This window comes from Homo sapiens, chromosome 12 (genome assembly GCF_000001405.40).
Source record: "Homo sapiens chromosome 12, GRCh38.p14 Primary Assembly".
Lineage (NCBI taxonomy): Eukaryota > Metazoa > Chordata > Mammalia > Primates > Hominidae > Homo > Homo sapiens.
In genome coordinates this window covers 88,865,534-88,867,211 of record NC_000012.12, presented here as the reverse complement: position 1 = coordinate 88,867,211, position 1,678 = coordinate 88,865,534, and the positions used below count along the sequence as shown (strand labels likewise).

The window sequence follows — 1,678 nt, the reverse complement described above, 5'->3', positions numbered from 1 at the left end:
ATGTTAAGTCCTACCAACCACTTAGCACTCAGTCTCTTATGAAAAGAAAATCTGTGCTATCCAATAGCTAACCATCTGCGAAATCAGTGAAATATGTAGCTTTTGGATTTTTGTCATTTTTTCCATGTGTCCAAGGGATGAACCTGGCATGGGAACAGACAAAAGCTAAGCTGGGGCCTGGTGCAGTGGCTCATGCTTATAATCCAGCATTTTGGGAGGCTGATGGGAGAATCGCTTGAGCCAAGGAGTTCAAGACTAGCCTAGGAAACATAGGGAGAACCTTGTCTCTACAAAAAATACAAAATAATTAGCCAGGCGTGGTAGCACATACCTGTAGTCCCAGCTACTTGGGAGATTGAGGTGGGAGGATGGCTTGCACCTGGGGGTATGAGGCTGCAGTGAGCTATGATGATCATACTAAGGCACTGTAGCCTGGGTGACAGAGTGAGACCCTGTCTAAAAAACAAAAAACAAAAAGCCAAGCTGGGATAAACAAGAGGTTGCCTTATGTCTTTGCGATTTGAGATAAGTGCCACCAACCAGATGCCACTTTAACCAGGTCAGAGACAGGATTTTTGTCATTTTTTAAAAAACAGATATCCTAACTTATATATTAACTTTAATTTCTAGGATATCATATAGGCAGGTAAATGTATTTTTTTATCATTATGCAGACTAATTCAAACCGTAAAATGTATAATTTCTTCATGAGACAATGTGAAGCACAGTTTTGGTTGGTTGTTTGTTTTTAGATAAAATCATGGACCTTCTGTGAAAAGTAAAGAAGAAATATTTCTATGTTAGCAAAACATTTAGCACACACGAAAAAAAATTTGAAGAACATTTTCAACTAAGGAATTTGGGGCAGCAGATTAATGGTATAGCTTCTTGATTCTTTGCCTGACATGCATTGTTTATGCAAAATATTTCCAGTAGACTCATATCTTAATTCATCCAATACCATTTGCAGCACAGATTGTTTATGTAACCTAAGATTGTACTCTATAAGTGACTACTTTTCCTGAATTAGCATTTATGATGCAAACCACTTAACTATCTACAGTAAATAAGTAAACAGACATTTTAAACCTTTCTTTGCTATGGAAGTTATTTAACTTAGAGAATCAAATAAACTTCAAATTCATTTATAAGAAAACAAACACCATTGACTCTCTTCTGAAGTCTGTACTAAAGCACAAGAGCAGAGTTTTGATTAGACTTCACACACTTTGAATATTTTAGAGAGCACATTTATTTTTTAATTTATTTGTTTTGTTGCAAAGTACTTCACTGGAGATTTAAATTGGTTTTTTTTTTCTTTTTCCTTTCTATAACCAGAAAGTTACCTTGCTGTCTTTAGCAGAGTAGGCTACCTTAAATCATTCCTTTTGTGGCTGTTTCTACCTTTGATTTGTGTGTGTGTGCATGCCTGCACATGCATAGGGCATAAGAAATTATACGGCTCCCTGGGGCAATCAGAATTGCAATCCTAGGTAGGTTGGTATTGCAATATGGTATCCCAGGTTACCCTATAGCAGTGTTCCAAAAAAAAAGTGTGTGATGACTCCTTTATGTTTCCAGGATAGACACCTTTGTGCAGGAAAGTGCACAATGATCTCAGTTTGTAAATGGGCACCTGAATTAATCCTGACACTCTCTGGCCAGCTGGCATTTTAAA

At 37.1% G+C, this 1,678-nt stretch overlaps 1 pseudogene; it reads right to left on the bottom strand.

Moving 5' to 3' along the window:
• Positions 1-448: 448 nt before the first annotated feature.
• On the bottom strand, positions 449-569 carry LOC124900331 (uncharacterized; annotated as a pseudogene).
• Between the last annotated feature and the right edge of the window lie 1,109 nt (positions 570-1,678).